General features: G+C 39.4%; 1 protein-coding gene across 11 annotated transcripts in view, besides 1 other annotated feature; it reads left to right on the plus strand.

Annotated features, from left to right (window-relative positions):
* CAST (calpastatin) overlaps nucleotides 1–16,227 on the plus strand; it is an 813,255-nt gene that overhangs the window by 676,935 nt on the left and 120,093 nt on the right. The gene's annotated exons all lie outside the window — the stretch shown is intronic.
* Nucleotides 9,730–9,799: an enhancer, noted in NCBI's record as "active region_22815". NCBI's record gives its function as "activates an Ori minimal core promoter by ATAC-STARR-seq in GM12878 lymphoblastoid cells {active_cell/tissue: GM12878}" and the evidence as "EXISTENCE:reporter gene assay evidence [ECO:0000049][PMID:35858748]".

Consider the following 16,227-nt stretch of genomic DNA (forward strand, 5'->3'; position numbering starts at 1 on the left):
CCACTGCACTCCAGCCTAGGCAACAGAGCGAGACTCCATCTCAAAGAAAACAAAAAACAAACAAACAAAAAAATGCACATCTGTAAGCAATGGCATTACTAGGCCCTTCATCCAAATTGCTTCTCTTCCATAGGAAAAGCCTTTGACATTCTTCTGGGGATCCTCTAGACCTCCCCCAAACACCTTGGTGTTTTTTGTGCCAGTGCATGCAAGGTTAGGGTTACACAAGGCAGCTGAAGTTTTCTCCTTCCCTTATCTTCTGATTCATGGGCTTGAACGATTTTGTTCTGATATACCAGTAAGAACACCATAAGCAGCTCAACTCTCAAAGTCCCTCTCAGCCAACATATTCATGGCTGTTGTCAACAATAAGGAAACTTTCTCCTCCCGTGGGCCTCTTAAGTTCATGGGCCTCAAAATTTTGTGTCAGTTCCATCTAATTCCAAGGATTCCTTTCTAAATGAAACACAAATAAGTTGCAGAACAAACTTTTACCACTGCAGAACTTCCCTATCCCTTCTCAGTTTCATCTCCTTCTCTCTACCGCAGCACCTAAGGACATTGTTTTCAAAGAGAGACAGCCTGCCTCAGAGGACTTCATCCCTTCTCTAGACACACTAGTCCTCAGAGGTGGCCTCCTATCTTCTCGGGATCTTTTCCATCTTTTGATATTCAGCCCATGTGTTGGCATTTGGCCCTGTTCCTTGTCCTACATCATTAGATCATATACCAACATTGTATATAACTCCTATTTCTAGACTTACTCATCCCGTTCATCTGAAAAAGATGAAAATCATCCTAATCCAGTGAAGGTGTGCAAGCACCTTGAAGCCTGAACTACAGGGCCCCCCATACTGTGACCAATGTACAGTAGATAATCACAGCCACATGATCCTAGGAAGAGGGCAGAGGCAGGCAGAGGTATTTGGAGAGTGCTGTAGGATTCCAAGATGGACTTCTCATTGAGCCTGACTGAGGGGTGGGCTGGCTGGAGAGATAGGAGAGCTTAGGGCCTCCTTCCTCCCATGTTTGGCCTGAGTGAGCTGAAACCCTGTGCTAAGTAATCTTCACATTTTATCTCCTCTTCTTCATCCCCACTGCTCCTGCACTTGTTCAGAAACTCATCACTTCTTCTCAGAAAATGTATAAAATGAGAAAAAGAAAGGCAGAATGAAGTCCAGAGGGGAAGAAGTCAATGGCACCTGAACAGGATCTGCGGGGACACAAGGGAGCTCGTAGACAAGTGGTGCCTGGCCCCGGGAGGAGGGCCCTCTCAAAGGCGAGGATGGGCCATGCAGGGACCATATCAACCTAAAAAGTCACCCAAAGAATGTCAGACAGTATGTAATGAGTATCCTTTTGATCCGACAGCTGAGAGTTTTTTGGTAACTCAGTGGGTAAAACTGAGAAGGAGCCAGAATTTTGTTTTGTTTTGTTTGAGTATGCACGGTTTGGGTAGTTCCCTCAACTTTGGATGGCATTTATTTCTACACCATCACACACTCCTGGAAGAGAAGCCACTCCAGGAAGCCTGGACCTTCTAATTGACATCCAGTTGCCTCCAATCCCACTCAATCTTACCTGTACTATTTGCCATCTCCTCTCAATCAAGTTCATTCCATAATGATGTTTTCCTGAGTAAACCAGAAAAAAAAGAATCCTTATAAATAGGCAAAGATTACTTAGTAAAATAGGCAAAGGCTCTCAGAGCCTTTTTTCTCATGTGACATGCATGTATCTGAATAGGAACTTCTTGTTTCTGGCTGTTGAATTATCCAAAAGGATGGCTTTAGTGGTAAGTTTTGTGCATAAAGGAAAGGAAGGCATGTTAGCCAGTGGAGAATACATTTAGGCCACAGGGACCTTGTGGTGCTTCTTGGATTACGCTGGGCTTTATGCATGGATAGCAGATGAGGCCAGGGGAGGAAAAACTCTAGAGATGGAAGGATGGATGGACAAAGGAAGAAGAGAAGAAAGAGAGAATAAATAGCATATGCAATATGTTGAATTTGCACTGCTAGCAAGCAAGAACTTAAGTCACACACATACCCAGAGCCAGGCCCTCAGGAATATTTCTCAACCTTTATGCTTTACTCTTCTCCAGATAGTAAAACACCTACAAAATATCATCAGGCCTTGTTCTTCAGCATGACAAAATGTCCTGCTTCTTGCCTCTGTGAACAAGGGGGACTGAGATTGTATCTCCTTTCCACAAGAGCCCTTGGGATCAACACCTATGGAAGGGAAGGGAGGAATGGAAAAAAGGGGAGCTGAGCTGGGATGCAGATCTGCTAGATGCCTCAGACAACCCTGCGGGGAGTTATGGAGATGGAATGCCCTTTAGAATTGTCCAGGGTTCAGGAGACAGGGGAGGCCTTTTTATACCTGCATCACCTAGTCACTGGGTATGCTTGATGGGGAAGAATCATGACGTTAGGAGAGGGAGGTGGCTCTCTGAAGCTGTAGCAATCCCCAAAGGGGGCAGACCTTTGCAGATGAGGTCTTTCTTCTGGCAGCACTCCCAGAAACTAAGGTAAAGTCTCCGTTATTCCTGAGGGGGATCCGGATGGCTTATCATGTCCATCACACTCCACAATGCTATATAATACCATAAAACTTTGCAAATAGAATGAAGGAGAAAATAAATATTGCAAAAGCATACTGTCAAATTTCTACATAACAGAATATTAGGTTTGAAAATATTACCCATTAGTTAAATTTCTCCTCCTTTTACAATGATGTTTGCCTTTAAAGGGGTCACCAGAGAATAATTTGTTTCACAGAGCAGCCATGCTATTAATACTACTGTTTAGAGATATAGAAACGACTTTGCAACTGTGAATTGCTAAGAATTGTAGAAATAAAGGGAAAATAAAATTTTCTTTTCTAATTTTGTCTAGTGATAATAATAATAATAAAAATTACCTCTCTAGGTCTTGCACTAGGCAAGAAGGTATAAAATACCCTCTGCTTGCTAGGAGGCTATGGAAACTTTCCAGCCATCTTCTGGTTCCTTGTTAATTTTCTTGAAGTTTGCAGCTTTCCATTCTTGAGGGTGGGATGTGGGGTCAGTATGGGGTAATGAAAAAAACTCCACTCTTGAGAATCGGGCTCTTTGCTGGGCCAACAACTAACTAGCGCCATGTGAATCGTCCCTTTTCAATGTTTACAGTGCTTGATGGTTTCCCAATGCCAAGAGGATGGAGTTTAGACCCTTACGACCTCACAGCCTCATCTACAGCCTTCTTCTGCCTTCTGGCTAGTGTGTTCCAGCCATGCCCTCCTACTTTCAGATCCTGAAACATGCCTGGCTCTCCCCAGTTCCTGCCTCTGCTCATTTACCCTCTCCTGCACTATCTTTCCCCATTGCAACCCCTTCATCCTCCAAGTCCCAGTTTAGGTGTCTCTTGCTCCTTTTTGGATCTTCTAAGTTCAAGTCCACTTTCCTGCATGCTCACAAAGCTCCCTCTAACTTTGCCCAGCATTGTATAATATTGTAACAGGCTAGAACCTATTTAAAGCCCAGGATCCTCACAGCTCAATCCTAAATGCAGTCTGTATTTAAAGAAACAGTGGTCAAAAGTTCACAAAGTAATTAAGTGTTTTAATGTTTACTGAAGTCTCTTTACTGCAATCGAAAATGCCTGAGAGGGTGCACAATCTAAACTCTCAGCAAAACATCTCAGAAATGCTTCCTCTCTTTATCTTACTCTCATTATCTCCCCATGCACTGAAACTTCTATAAGCTCTCCAGAAACCAACCAGATGTTATCTTACCTGATTTCTCTTTGTTTCCTTATGCAATGATACAATTCTTCTCTTTACTACATTCTTTGATCCCTGTCATAACTGTTTACCTGTATCCACCACTAGACTCCATGATGAAAAGGATCATTTCAATCTTATTCACAGAACTTGAGATAATGCATGGTACATAATATGTCCTCAATAAATATTTGTTAAATGGATAAGGACACATTATTGGGTCTTTCCAGGCTAAACTTTCTTCTTCCAAGAAGAAATAGCCTGGGGAATTAGAAAGGCACTTCCAGTTGAAATGGTTCACTACTGAACAGGGCCAGGAGGTCATGAGGAGAACTGTTTAAACACTTTGTGGCACTATTTGCATTGAATGGCTCTCGTGGTTGATAATGATAGTAAATAAAGCACATATAGTTCCTTTTTTTTTTTTTTTGAGACAAGATTTTGCTCCTGCTGCCCAGGCTGGAGTGCAGTATCCTGATCTCGGCTCAGTGCAACCTCCACCTCCTGGATTCAAGCAATTCTCGTGCTTCAGCCTCCCAGGTAGCTAGGATTACAGGCACCCGGCACCACGCCCAGCTAATTTTTGTATTTTTAATATAGACAAGAGACAGGGTTGCACCATGTTGGCCAGGCTGGTCTCAAACTCCTAACCTCAAGTGATCCGCCCACCTAGGCCTTCCAAAGTGCTGGGATTACAGGTGTGAGCCACCACGCCCATCCAAATACATATAGTTCTTAATATGTACTACAGACTGTTTCAAAGGCCTTGCATCTATTTGCTCATTTTATCCTTCTAACACCCTTATGAGGTAGGAACCATTATTTTCCCAATGTTACAGGTGAGGAAATTAAGGACCAGAGACCAGAGAGGTTGAGTAATTTGCTGCTAAGGGACAGCATTAGCATTTAAATCAAGCAGTCTGCCTCTCTGGGCTGTGCTCTTAACCACTACTCTATATTTATTATTTTGCTACATACAAAACAACGTTCACAATGGAATGTGGAGTGGCATGTTTGCACGCAGCTGGGATGCAAGACACCTTGAGAGTAGGGCACTGAGATTATATTTCAAAATGATATAATATCTGCATCCCTAAAAGTGCATTTTTCTAAGTTACTTTTGCTATCTGTTCTTCAAAGTCTATCTGGAGAATACAAAATAATCCTTCAAGCCAGTCACAAAAGATCACTTATTATATAATTCCATTTATATGAAATATTCAGAATAGTTAAATCTATAGAGGCAGAAAAGTTAGTAGTTGTTTATGGCTGGTGAGGGGACAGATGTGAGGATAGGAAGGTGATAGCTAAAGAGTTTGGAGTTTCTTACCAGGTGCTGTGGCTCACGCCTGTAATCCCAGCACTTTAGGAGGCCATGACAGGTGGAACATCTGAGGTCAGGAGTTCGAGACCAGTCTGACCAACATGGTAAAACCCCAACTCCATTAAAAATACAAAAAAATGGGCCAGGCGCAATGGCTCACCCCTGTAATCCCAGCACTTTGGGAGGCCGAGGTGGGTGGATCACGAGGTCAGGAGATGGAGACCAACCTGGCCAACATGGTGAAACCTTGTCTCTACTAAAAATATAAAAATTAGCTGGGTGTGGTGGCGCGCACCTGTAATCCCAGCTACTTGGGAGGCTGAAGCAGGAGAATCGCTTGAACCTTGGAGGCCGAGATTGCAGTGAGCCCAGATCATGACACTGTACTCCAGCCTGGCAACTGAGCGAGACTTCATCTCAAAAAAATAATAATAATAACACAAAAAATTAGCTGGGCATGTTGGTGTGCACCTGTAATCCCATCTACTCAGGAGACTGAGGCAGAATTGCTTGAACCCAGGCCGCAGAGGTTGCAGTGAGCCAAGATCATGCCACTGCACTCCAGCCTGGGGGACAGAACGAGGTTCCGTCTCAAAAACAAAAAAAAAAAAATTGAGGGTTTCTTTTTGAGGTGATGAAAAGGTTCTAAAATTGACTGATCATTCACATCTCTGTGAATATACTAAAAACCATGGAATTGTATACTTCATATGGGTGAATTGTATGGTATGGGGATTATATTTGAATAAAACCATTATTTAAAAAAATACTTCACAACAAATTTGTCTTTAATTAAGTTTCTTGTACAGTGAAAGTCTGTCATTTAAATTTCTCTTTACCCATTTTATATTTACTGCTTCTCCAAGAATAAGGCATTCACAGCAGAAGTAGTTTTGGTACTTGGTGGATTCAAATGGCATGTTGGTCAGCTACAGCCAGCAACTGCTAGAAAATTATCTTTAACCTTTAAAAATTATTATTACAAATAAAAATTTACTACAAATATTTTGGCGGTGTCCATTCCCAGAAAAGTCTTGTTAAACATAAAATTGTTTTTCTTATAACAGTTTATTTTGGAGTAATTTTAGACTGACATAAAAGTTGTGCAGGTGGTATGGAGAATCCACCTATAATCCTCACTCAGTTTCAATTTCCCCTGATGTTATCATCTTACATTATGGTGATACATCTGTCAAAATTAGGAAACCAACATCAGGATATTACTATTAATGAAACTCCAAGCCAGGCGCCGTGGCTCACGCCTGTAATCTCAGCACTTTGGGAGGGTGAGGCGAGTGGACCATTTGAGGTCAGGAGTTTGAGACCAGCCTGGCCAACATGGTGAAACCCCGTGTCTACTAAAAATACAAAAATTAGCCTAGCAGTAGTGGCACGTGCCTGTAATTCCAGCTACTCAGGAGGCTGAGGCAGGAGAATCGCTTGAGCCTGGGAGGCAGAGGTTGCGGTGAGCCAAGATCGGGCCACTGCACTCCAGCCTGGGTGACAGAGTGAGAGTGTCTCAAAAAACAAACAAACAAATAAAACCCAAAACTCCAGACTTCATTTGGATTTATTATTCCACTAATTCCCTTTTTTTGTTGGAGGTCCCAATCCAATACTACATACTCACTATATTTAGTCATCATGTCCCCTTCGACTCCTCTGGGGCCTGTGACAGTTTTTAAGACTTTCCTTGTTTTTCATGCCCTTGACAGTTGGAGTACATCTAGTATTTTGTAAAATATCTCTCGATATGAGCTTATCTGATGTTTTTCTCATGAGTAGGCTGGAGTTATGAGTCTGGGGAAGATTATCACAGTGCTAAAGCGGCCTTCTTGTCACATTCCACATGAGATCCACATGACTTACCACTGGTGCTGTCAACATTCATCACGCGGTTAAGGTGGTGTCTTTCAGGTTTTTCCACTTCAATGTTATTATTTCGCCCTTTCTATATTATTTGGAAGCAAGTCACTAAGTCCAGTGCATGCCCAAATAATTTTTAAATGTGAAAATTATTCCTATTTTATTCGTTTCAAACATAATATTCATTTGCAAGATTCTCTAAGATTATTAAAATTGACTGAGATTCTCTTTTCCTTTCGTCTTTAATACTTAACTTTAAATTTTTGGATTCTAATGGTTTGGAAAAATAAATATTTTAAATTATAAGATAATATGACTGTTGCTTTCCAAGAGGTGTAATGTAAATTTAAACAATTACCTTTTTTATTTTAAAATATTAATTAGTGGGAAAACGCTGTGAAAGTATAACAAACTTTACTAATACCAAGGGAAAATAAAAGAGAGTATTTCTTATAATCTTGGAGTGGAAAGACCTCTCTAAAGGTCTAGACACAAAACATAGAAACTTGAAAGGAAAAGATTAATAAATTTGACTAAATTAAAATTTTAAAAATATGTATAATATTTTAAAATAATAATTTAAAAATCTATAAAGACAAAAATAACTGTAAGCCAATAATAAAACCAACAATTCAATAGAAACATGGCAAAGGTCACAAATATAGAATTCACAGAAAAAGAAATATACTTTATAAACATGTGAAAAGATGCTCTAACCTGATTCAAAATAAGACAAATATATATTAAAACCACAAGGAGGTAATGTTTTTGTCGCATTACATTACAAAGATAAAAAAATTGATAAAACACACCACCGTCAATATTGCAGAGAAGGAGGTACTATCCCACATCGTTGAACTGGTGCAAAAATTTTGGTTGGTAATTTGGCAAATATCTGTCCAAAATGTTGTAATTATGCATCTTTTGACTAGATATTCCACTTTTATAAATTTCTCTAACAAATATACTTGCATATGCACAGGCACAAAGATACCTGCAAAACTGTTCATTACAGCATCGTTTAATAACAGGGAAAAACTGAAACCAGCTAAGTGGCTACCACCAGGCAACAGTTAAATGTAGTATGAAGCAATTACATAAGATGTTATGCAGTCATTTAAAAGGTAGATTTCTGTAAGGGGATGTGGACTGTCTTGCAAGATGTATTGTTAAATGAAAAAGGCAATGTGAAAAATGGTGTAGATAGTATTCTAGTATGTCTGTAAAAACAGAAATATTCTTTATATAAATTTTCTTCATAACCACATATAAATTGCTCTATTGGCTGTTCCTGGAATTAAAATATTAAAAAATTATAAATAGTGGTTGCCTCTGGGGAGGTGTTGTGGGGCTGCACATGTAAACAGGGAATATTTGCCTCTCATCATCGATTGATTTTTATTATTCAACTTATTTGTTTTAAACACAGCATTTCTTTGTCTATTATAATTTTAGATATCCAATAAAAAATAAATATTATAAATCAAGTGCATGTATAATGTGTAGGTTAAAGCTTATCACTTAGAATCTCTAGAATTTCCAGTTCTTTTGCTGAAGTAACTTGTACTTCTAGAAATCACTTAGCCAAACGATAGGAGGTGAAGGTGAAACTGTTACTGATGCCCAACCTCTCTGTTGCGGACTACCAAATGAAAAGTTGTAATGAATATACCATCTCCCATTTCACCATCTTCTTGAATCATTTTGAGGCTTGGATTATTTTTGTTTCTATAAGTGGCTTGACTTTTCTGCTGGGAACTGCTGGCATGTTTGTGATGGAGTTAGGGGCACTGGCTTGTTGGGTGATTTGTTGCTGCTTAGTGACATACACGGATCGGAGGAAACAAAAACCCCAACTCTCCCACAGCTCCATTTTCCACACCTGCAGTCTCAACCGGAGTCCTTAGGTTTCGGTATATCGTTTTTGTTAATTACATCCAATCCAGACTTCAAAGGCATTGGTTGTACAAGATCATACACTGAGGATGACTTGTTATTCAAATTAACACCTAGTACAGTTCTGTGGTAAAAATAGCCTTGTTGCAAGGAAGTTTCCTTGCTTTGTAAAACCGTTTTAGATTTAATAGGATTTTTACCTATATGAACCTTCGATTATACCACCTTGTGCTGTTCTAGCCAGTATCACTTTTTATGATTAGATCAGTTTCCTTTTTCTAAGTGTTATGAGTTGAAATGTGTCCCCCCAAAATGAATATGTTGAAGTCCTAACCCCATACGACCTTATTTGGAGATAGGGTTTTTATAGAGGTAATCAAGTTAAAATGAGGTCATTAAGGTGGGACGTAATCCAATATGACAGATTTCCTTGTTAAAAATACATAATAAATAAATAAATAAACTAAACTGAGGCACACACCGGGAGAACACCGTGTGAGAGTGGAATTACACTGCTACAAGCCTGCAGGGAGCTAGGACAGATCCTTCCCGAGCTCCTTCAGAAAGAGCATGGCCCTGCGTGCACCTTGATTTTGGATTCGTAACCTCCAGAGCTGTGAGATAATAAATTTATGTTGTTCTAAGCCACCTAGTTTGAAGCTGTTTGTTATATCAGCCTAAGGACTCTGGATGGGAAATAATTGGACAAAAGTGAAAAAGACTCCAGTTCAAAATGAGCTGTGACTTTCTCCAATTCTTTCCTATACTAGGAAATGCCCCTTGTGAATTTGAATTCTGCTTTTGGTAATTTAGTCTGGAAAGAGTAACTGCTTTTTCAACTTAGGTTGTGTTTCCCCAGTATTTGTAGGAAGAAACACTACAATATCACTTCTCTCTGTGTGAACTCATCTATCCTTTAGGTTATATTTTCCACTAGGCTTTGGATGTTTTTACTCAAGTTGTTTCTTCTGCCTAGAATGACTTACCACCCTCTTTTTGCTAAACTGTGTGCCTTCCCCTCTTTCAAAACCCACTTTCAGAACTTGTCTGCAGATTCACTTCCTTATTGGTCTTTCTAGATTAAGTCTTTCAGGATAGAGTCACTCAGCAAGACTGTGAATGCTTTATATTGCCAAGTTTACACTCCTCTCCTCATAAACTATTTATTTCTCTCTGTATATTTAATATTTAGGTATATTTAAGTTTATATATTTAAGTTTCAGCACTTGAATTAATATATCTGTATATTTAAGTTTCAGCACTTGAATTAATATATCTGTATATTTAAGTTTCAGCACTTGAATTAATATATCTGTATATTTAAGTTTCAGCACTTGAATTAATATATCTGTGTATTATTTTTCTTTAAGTGGCAACATCTTTGAAGGAAAAGTTTTTTCAGTCAGCAAGTAATAACAAACGTAATAGTTACAATTGCTACATTTATGAGTACTTAGTACCTCTGCATTGTGAAACTGGGAGAAGTTTTATTTATATATATGCGTGTGTGTGTGTGTGTGTGTGTGTGTGGTGTAATAAGACACTCGTTCACAGTCACACAGCTAGGTAGTGGCAGAGCCAGGAATTCATTCCAGGCTGAATTGATTCTGAAGCCCTAGCTCTGAGACGCCTACTCAGTAAAGATGGTCCATTCACCTGACTCCAGCTAATAGGTCAAGGACTTCATCTTGCTCACAGATCTACCCCCAGGGCCTGGAATACTGTCTGGCACATGGTGGATACAGGATTCATGTTTTTGTTGCATAAACAGTCTGTAGCTCTGTCGATGTATGGCTATATTAATAGGAATAGAGGTACTCATAGGGCAAGACATGTCTTTTTAAAAATGTTAGCTCAAACCATATAAAATTGCCTATATTCAAAGTTTTTAACCTACAGAGATGGCAGTTTCATGCTGTTCAATCTTATACAATTGCCAAAAGAATTTAAAATTAATAAAAGATTCAGTCTTTTGCTGTTAGATTTGTTTTTAAAAAGTTTTTTCATGTCAGTGAGCCTCAGACTCCCATTGCAGCCCTTGGTTTCTGACAAGGACAATAAATTACTGTGTTTCTGTCATTATACAGTCTCAACACAAACATGTGTTCCTGGCATCTGTCTGACATTGCAGATGTTTTCTTTTAATAAGCAGGGTTAAAGTTCTTCTCTCATGAAAGAATTTTGCTATTCACATAAGTCGAATAATGAGACAGCCCTGGGAATGTAACCTCTCCCAGGATCCATTGTTTGTCATCTTCTCGTAAATATTTGAAGTCAACGGGCCTGATTTCTAACTCTCTTTCATTGATCTGCTCTCTGGCCCTCTGCCACCTTGGATCAAGCCACCTTTGCCACCTTGGTTTCCCCATTGATCAATCATTCTGGGGCTAGTGGATAAGTCTGTTGAAAGAGTCATAGAACTGGATTCTAGTTTTCCACCAGAACTAGTGATGTAACTTTGACCCAATTGAGCAGTCTCTGAACTGTTTCCTAAATAATAAAATGAAAATTATGTTCATCCTGCATCATCACAGGTTTATTGTCGGCATTCAAACTGTAAAATACCATTCAAATGTAACATGTTCCTGTTAGAGTTGCATTTAAACTTCAAGTCACAGAGGCAGTAAAGATTAGTCAATCCTTGGTGTATATAATGAGTTAGGTAATACTGTAATGACGGTAACACAATAGCTAACAGTCATAAAATTTTCTCTCTGACAGACACTATTCTAAAAGTTTTACTTGGATATTCTCACATAATCCTTATAGCAACCTCATAAGTTAGATATTATTCTATCTCTATTTTACAGTTGAAGAATCTGAGTCAGAGAGATTGAATAAATTACACAGTGAGGAAGTGGCAGAACCAGCCCTTTGCAGCCAAGCTTTCAGCCTGTGGTAGACACATACAATGCTCATCAAATACCCATGTGTTTCCTTTAATTTCCTGGACTCCCTTGTAATTAAACTGGGGCCTTGGAACTAGTTCTAGCCAATGGACTAGAAGTACGAGGGATGAGGGTCACTTCCAGTTTGAAGCATAGAAGAATAATTAGGACTCTTCACGCATTTTCCTTTTCCCTGTTAGAGGCCTCAGGTTGAAATGATGATGTCAACAATGAAAGCGTGGGTCACTTGGAAGCAAGCTGCTTTGGGGAGCTGCTGGGCCTGCAACAGACCTTGCATGAAAAAGGAATGTGCTTTCATGTGACCAACCACTTAGGTTTCAGGTTTGTTGGTTATTGAAGTATAGCCTGTCTTATCCTGATGACTATCCTACTTGTTGAAGTAAATATATTCATTTCTGAATCTAGAAATTATACATTGTAACTTGGAATTTGAAATCCAATATTAACAATCAGACAATTGTCCTCTAATGTGCTTCCTCCTAAAAATCTTCCTTTCAGAATTATTTTATGTAATTTGCAGCTCTCCCCTTCACTTTCTCTACCCGGCAGCCTAAGATGTACTTTCCATATATGTAATTTGTCTCCCTACCTCTTACCCACTTAATTGTGTGTGTGTGTGTGTGTGTGTGTGTGTGTGTGTGTGTAGCGTGTGGGCATTCGTGGGAGCATAGGTGGGAGAAAGGAAGAAAAGATTACTCAAAACAGTCTTTACTGCTTTCCAGATGTATAGAGATAGAGAAGGTTTAGCAAAGAATTTTTTCAACAGACTAGTGCAAAATAGATATTTAGAATTGTGTTTGGAAATTTGCTTTCCAATCTTGACACTGAAGCATTCATTGGCTGATGTATTATGATTCTTCTTTCTGCTGTGCTCTCTCAGAATTGAAGTTGGATAATAGTGTGGGTAGATATTTTCTTTCCAAGAACATTCTGGAGAAAAAAAATTGAACTAATAAAACAACAGACCCAAACAGTACTAGAAATAAATGCGGTTTTAGGGAAATGATGCTGCCGATGCCAGCCTCCCCGTCTCAATTATCTCAATCAGACAAAAATCTACTGTGCCCTGGGCTCCTCAGCAACAAAGCACTGTCTAGTTAGAAAGCAGAACAGCAACTTGTAGTGGGACAAGAACTTCGGTTTCTCCACCACACTGCAGAGGATGAACCTTCAGCCTCTGAGACATTCTAACGTGGGACAGAGCACCAGTGATGTGCCTAGGGAAGTATGTGTATGTGTGTGTACTAATATCAGTCAATGCTGGTTTTTTAAGACATCATTACTTGGTTGTATCTTCTCTGCTTTCTCTGCTGTCTTTTCAGAAATCCTACTGGATAGATGTTGTATGTCTTGAGTTGATATCTAATTTTCTTATCCTGTCTCTACTGTCCTTTCCTTTGTAAGCTTCGCATCTCACCTGAGGTTGGGAAGGGATAGTTGCCTTGATGTGTGAAATGGAAGAAAGAGACTGAGGTTCTAACTGCAATCTGTAAAGATTTTCACCCATCTCTCTCTTTTCAGCCCATGCCCCACCTCCAAACCCTGAGCTTTCAAACTGGCATTAGACCTTGCTCACTTCTGTCCGTATCTCCCCAGCAGACTCTCAGGCTGTAGCTTTCTCCATTCTGTAAAATTTGGTTTCTATTACACCTTTTACAAAAATGTGTTGATATATCATGTTTGTAATTGTCTCCTGTTCTGTGCCATTTATCCTGTAGGTTTAGAGCTTTCCTATTTGTTTTAATTTCATTTACTCTCAGTGAAGTTTCAGGGGAGAGAAGGAATAAAGACACACATATTTAATCTGTGTGTTAAATCAGAATCTCCCTGTGACATGTTTTTAAAAGTAACAGCCCTGCAAGGTATATATTAGTAGGCTCATGTTACAAAGATACTGAGTCTCAGAGAGCTTCGGTAAACTTCCTAAGCACTTACTGCTAAGGACCACAACTGGGATTCAAATCCATATGCAATTGAATCCAAAACCCCTGCTTTTCACCAGAGCAGATCTTCCTGCAGTGGCCACTAGGGCAGCGTCAGAGGACCTCCCAGGGATGGTTCTAAGGAGATGGTTCATAGCAAACGAGGTCCAGACCAACCCTTAGGTATCTTCCAACCTAGGTTGTAATAATTGGCTTTGCTTTGTTTGATAATTACAAATGATTTCCTACATGGAGTCTATAATTAGAATACTCATGGTATAAAAATAACACACGTTAGGGAAAAATGTAGAATTGATGGGTCATGGGGATTTTTTTAAACAAAGATAATTGGTGTAATACCATTTTAGCCTAAGTACTAAATAGTGCTCAATTAAAACTCTGGAGGAGGAACATAAACAGAAAAACTAGCTGAGTAACCCACAGCACCTAATTATACATTTAGCCACTCATCCAATCAGCTCACAGCACACCTACAGAGAGGAAACCCTATGTTTAGGTGACTCCTCTGTGAAGCCTCCACTTAAATGCTCTGTGTCACAGAGCCTCCTGACACACAGCATTTGGCCTAACCCACTCAGGGAGTAAGATATGTGCCATATGTTCATTTTAAGATTTCCCTTGGATGTGTTATTTGCACATGGGATCATCTTGCCTATATTAAAATGACACAATGCAAAATATAAGATGTGATATCTGATGTATCCCAGGAAAAACAGAGCTCATGACAGAAATTGGTGGTCACAGGGACTCCAACAGTCAGAGGCTGACTACTGCATACTTCAGAAGGGGCACAGACTGCACGGGAACCATAATCCCTTTCTGCAAGACAACAGGTTTGGGAGAGGTAGCTAGGCACCAACTGAGACCACACCCTCTTACCCACCTGCTGTGAGGAACTGGTTTGGCTTGAGCACAGTGCTTGAAGGATGTCTCCTAATCCTTGAGACCCATCAGGGTCCCTGTTGAGCCTGAGTTTCCCACAGCCATTATCTCCCAAATTAATGGCAGTTATTCCATAGTTTAGTGATTGCCTTCATATTTTCTCACAGGCTCCAGGGACACATCTACTCTGTGCCACAGTTATCCTATATCCTCAGGGTGGGATCAGACCTCACAGGGAGTCTCTGTGTCTGAGTAGGCAAACCAGTCCAGATTCATTGCCTTGGGGCAGGGCTAGACCCCACCTGGTATTGAAGTTATGCCAGACATGTGTTTTTAATCACATTTTTTTCCTCAAAGTCAACTGCATAATAAATTCATAATAAATAAATGCTGTCTCATCTAGAGAGTTCTGGGAGACCTAGAAAAACAGATGATTAAAAGAGAACAATTGAGTTGTTGCTCCAGAAAGGGCAACAATTTGGAGAGGAAGTGTAGTTAGTAGACCTGGCTTTGGAATCTGGCTCTGCCACCTCCCAGCTGTGGATGAAGTCTTACCTTCTTAAAACACCCATCTCCTTCTCTGTAAAATAAGGGTACAAATAAAACCTCGTAACATTGCTGTGAAGGTTTATAAAATGCATATAAAGTCCTAGATTAGAGTAAGCAAAAGGTAAATCATAGATGAAATAAAAATTATTTAAAAGCTCTTTTCTTTTTCTTCTTTTCTCTCAGATCTTTATCTTGTATCTTAACCCAATATTTAGAAGACGAAGGAATATTTCATTTTGGCTTCTTTAGAAAGAAAAGAAAAAAGAATTTGGGGGCCAAAATAATTATCTTTAAGTATTTGAAAGACTGAAAAGCAAAATAAATAAATAAATAACTATGAGTCTTATTCTGTATTTTTCTAGTGGTAGTTTTAGTCTAATATTTGTTGTTTCCCCTTAAAAATACTACTTAATTTCCCCTTTTTCATTCTTGTTGCTTAACTATCCTTTTTTCCTTTTTCTTCTTCTTCCCCTCTCTCTTTTCTCTTCCCTTGTATCTCTCCTTTCTCCTTATCGTTTTCTTTTCTTTTCTTTTTTTTTTTTTTTGAGACGGAGTCTCACTCTGTTGCCCAGCTGGAGTGCAGTGGTGCGATCTCAGCTCACTGCAACCTGCGCCTCCCGGATTCAAGGAATTATCCTGCCTCAGCCTCCCAAGTAGCTGGGATTACAGGTGTGCACCACCATGCCTGGCTAAATTTTTTTGTATTTTTAGTAGAGACAGGATTTCACCATATTGGCCAAGCTGGTCTCAAACTCCTGACCTTTTGATTTGTCTGCCTCAGCCTCCCAAAGTGCTGGGATTACAGATGTGAGCCACCGCACCCGGCCCATTTTCTTTTTTCAATTCTTTTTCTTACCTTTCTTTCACTTTCACTACTTTCCTCATTTATGCTTCCTATATCTTTTTCTTAAGAAAACCAAACTGTGGAGTACATAATGAAAGCAAAAAAACCTCACGTGTAGTGTGCATAGCTACTGTATATTACCAGTTTCAAAAACAAAGCACTCTCTTTTTCTCCGATGTTATATTTTAATCTGAGAAGTAATATTTGCAGAGTTTTCAGTGGTTTGAAGGAAGTAAAATATAACACAAA

The sequence above is a fragment of the Homo sapiens genome, chromosome 5 (genome assembly GCF_000001405.40).
Source record: "Homo sapiens chromosome 5, GRCh38.p14 Primary Assembly".
Lineage (NCBI taxonomy): Eukaryota > Metazoa > Chordata > Mammalia > Primates > Hominidae > Homo > Homo sapiens.